This window comes from Homo sapiens, chromosome 9 (assembly GCF_000001405.40).
Source record: "Homo sapiens chromosome 9, GRCh38.p14 Primary Assembly".
Taxonomy (NCBI): Eukaryota; Metazoa; Chordata; class Mammalia; order Primates; family Hominidae; genus Homo; species Homo sapiens.
The window spans coordinates 80,049,503-80,053,252 of record NC_000009.12 but is presented as its reverse complement, the minus strand read 5'-3'; the positions used below and the strand labels follow the sequence as shown (position 1 = coordinate 80,053,252).

General features: G+C 36.4%; 1 annotated feature.

Moving 5' to 3' along the window:
- Window positions 2,742–3,243: an enhancer, noted in NCBI's record as "OCT4 hESC enhancer chr9:82664925-82665426 (GRCh37/hg19 assembly coordinates)". NCBI's record gives its function as "activates a minimal SCP1, AML or CMV promoter by ChIP-STARR-seq in primed H9 embryonic stem cells {active_cell/tissue: H9 hESC(primed)}" and the evidence as "EXISTENCE:reporter gene assay evidence [ECO:0000049][PMID:30033119]".

Sequence of the window (3,750 nt, the reverse complement as noted above, 5' to 3'; positions counted from 1 at the left end):
ATCATTCTAAATTTTACTACATCCTTACCTTTACAGTGAGTTTTGTACTTTTAATGTTTTTATGTTGTTAGTTAGCATTCTTTTCTTTCAATATAAAGAACTCCATTTAGTCTTTTTTATAAGATTGTTCAAATGGTAATGAACTCCCTCAGCTTTTTTTTTTATCTTGGAAAGCCCTTATTTCTCCTTTATATCTGAAGGAAAATTTTGCTGGGTAGAGTATTCTCAGTTGACGATTTCTTTTTCCTTCAGCACTTTGAATATCCCATCCTATTCTCTCCTGTCCTGCAGTTTCTGCTGAGAAATTCACTTATAGTATTATAGAGGTTCCTTTGTGTGTGATGAGCTGCTGTTCTCTTGATGCTTTTGAAATTCTCACTTTGTCTTTGATTTTTGAGAGTTTGATTATAATGTTTCTCATTGAAAATCTGTTTATGATACATTTACTTGAGGTTCTTTTTGCTTCATAAACTTGAGTGTTCATTTCCTTCTGTAATCCTGGGTAGATTTCTGTCATTATGTTTTAAAATAAGCTTTCTGTCCTCTTTTTTTTTCTGCTCTTTTGAAAATTCCGTAGTGTCTATGTTGATTTGCTTGATGGTGTCCTATAAGTCCCATAGACTTTCTTCACTCTTTCTTATTCTTTTTTCCCCTCTGACTAGGTAATTTTAAATGGACTGCCTTCGAGCTCACTGATTCTCTTCTTCTTGAGTCTGAGGTTGAACTTCTGGAAAGTTTAGTTCAACCATTGGTTATTCAGCTCCAGAATTTCTGTTTGGTTCTTTTTTATGGTTTCTCTTTTTTGAACTTCTAATTTTATTTACATATTATTTTTCAAATTACATTTAATTGTCTATTTGTATTTTCTTGTAGTTCATGAGCTTCTTAAAAATCATTATTTTTAATTCTTAGGCAGTTTGTTTTTAAGGTCAGTTAATTGTGCTTTATTTCATTCTTTTGATTGTGTCATGTTTTCTTGATTATTGATGATCCTTGTGGTCTTGCATTGGTGTCTGTGCATGTAAAGAAGTAGACACCTTTTTCAGTCTTTATAGGGAAAGCCCTTCACTAGTCGTCTCCCACAGATTATGAGAAGACTGGCTGGGAGGATCTATGATGGGCTTGTTGCTGGAGTCTGAGAGTAGGATGGCCTGGTTCCTCAGTCAATGGGCTGATGGGCCTGGCACCTAGACCCACAGAGGCTGGCCTGGAAACTGGGTCTGCAAGGACCAGTCTGACTCTGGGGTTCACTGAGGCAGGCCTGGCACTGGGGTCCATGGTAAAGTCAGGTTCTCACTTCATTCTCCTTTCCTTATGCAGATGATATGTCTCTCAATACTGCACTGTGTGAGCTTGAGGGAGGAATCTCATGAGTAATGTGAAACTCTTCTTTCTACTCTCTTCAATGTGCCTTTTATTATTTGTGCACCTCCAGGTCCAGTGATCTCTCACATTGATCCTTTAATTATTCTGAAGGTAGTTTTTTGCAAGGATGATCGTTCAAATTAATGTTTCTGTGAGAAGGCAAGTGCTGGAAACTTTTATTAAGCCATCTTTCTGACATTAGTCTCCCCTAAAGATTATTAAGATAATAAAATGGTCAAACAACCCAGAACACAAATGGAGTACATGACATCAGGACTTGTCCCTATTCCTCATCTCACATAACCATTACACTTCTTATAATTTGCAGGATTCTACAGCTTATTTTATCAAAATATAGAGAAGGTTTTTCCAAAAAAGCTTTCTCAAAGAATGATCTTTTCATCCATTTGATTAGTTACTATTACAAAGTTAATCACGTACCATTATAATAAGGAGATATGAGAGTCACCACCTTAGTCAAGTGATAATATGTGGCAACATCAATAGTGGAGCAACCTGACATTAAAAGTCCCTGGTTGTAAAGCAGTACAAAGCACTTATAAGAACTGAAGATTGTTCTTACCAAAATCTTTTGCATAAATCTAAGCATGAGGAAACACAAATACAGCATGTGGGATGCTCTACAATGCAATCTACTTGGACTATTTTTAAAAAGTTAATGTTATTAAAAACAAATTAAAAGTTCAGTGAATAATATTTCTAGATTAAAACAGACTAAAGGCAAATATAACCAACCCAAAGAGTAAATATTGATTAGATTCTGAGCTTAAAATAAGTGGCTACACTTAACATTTTTTCTTCAGGCAAATGAAAATTATGCAAGACTGTGTATTAAACGATATTAGTGAATTAATAATTTTTAATATGTGGAAAAATTGTGTTTTGGTAAATAAATGTTTTTATCCTTAGCATATATTGAAGTATGTAGTGTAATGTTATGTTTATCACTTACTTTCATGTGGTGCAGGAAAAAAATGTACCTAGATAGACATGTATATATACAGATAAACACATACATAAGCAAATATGGCAAAATATTAACAGTTGATGAATTCTTCTCTCCAATTCTCTGCTTAAAGCTATATCATGCAAAGCTCCCAATGAACAATATTAATTAATGTTAGAGTAACCATCTAACAGGGGATTCTATGCATAGCCATGCTACCCTTCACTCCTGCATTTTAAAAATAATAAAATGATAATAAATTGAGTTAAAATATAATGAAGAAAATATATAACAATTTGGTATTTTATTATTATATAAATTCAGGCTGCTAGTACTTTAAATACTGGAACATGTGTGGGTTCTGGGAGACATTTATATCCTTGCAGGCTTACAAAGTTCCAGCTGGTAAGTCATGAAGACCACAGGAAGCAGCAAAGATTGGTCTCCTTAGTGGCAAATGTTCATGTGCTCCACCTCAGACAGAGAGGGAAAGTGAGTCCCCTGTCCCTTAACTTCTCTGGGATGAGGGATATCAGCGGATATTCTCCAAACCAAAACGGGTCAAAGCTGCCCTTCCTCTCCATAACACCTGAGAACCACAGGCCCAGATCTCTGCTGCTAGCCTTTAGGCTTACTGCTTTTCCAGAGGGGAATGGAGTCTTGGAGGTCTGCTCTCTTTCTTCTTCTTTTCCTCTAAGACACTCACTATGGGAGCTGGAGGATTCTCACAATCAGCTCATGAATGGCTATTGATCAGACTGAAGCTTAGAAGGGAGGATCATCGCAGTGATGCATAAATGGACAACCTACTGGAGCCCCACAGTCACCCTCCAGCCATTGCCCTGAAACCAAACTCCCCTCAAGAAGAGTGTGCTCTCAAATACCCCAACAATTGGTGTGGGTTTGAACTTATGCTGTCCTATATTTGTGTCATTTCTGCAACATTCCCACCCTGTACATGTATTATGTAGCTTGTATCTATAGAATGCTTTAAGTGAATTAAATTCATCTCTCTATTGCAGATCCCTGGGGATCATCAGGGTAAGGAATCAGAGTCTAAGAATTAGACTCCAGCCCCCTGATATTCTGTAAAACAAAATGAAACAAAAGTGCCCACAATGTTAGAGTACTAGACAGTGATTTCCAGGAGCACCTTCCTATGAATTCCAACTGAATATAAACAAATTGCAGTTTCATCACCTTACGAAACCTTCAGACAAATGACTGTTTATTTCTTAGATTAATCTGATTGATTACACTCATCCCATTTTAGAAACAGGAAACTAAATATCACATCCAAAAATCCACCCTCCCTTCCCAGCACTCACACATGGTAATACCAGAAAGGCAGGAAGATATGGATCACAGTTGCCTTCAAAGCTTTGAGAAATCTGTGGAAATTCATAGCCATGGTTTCC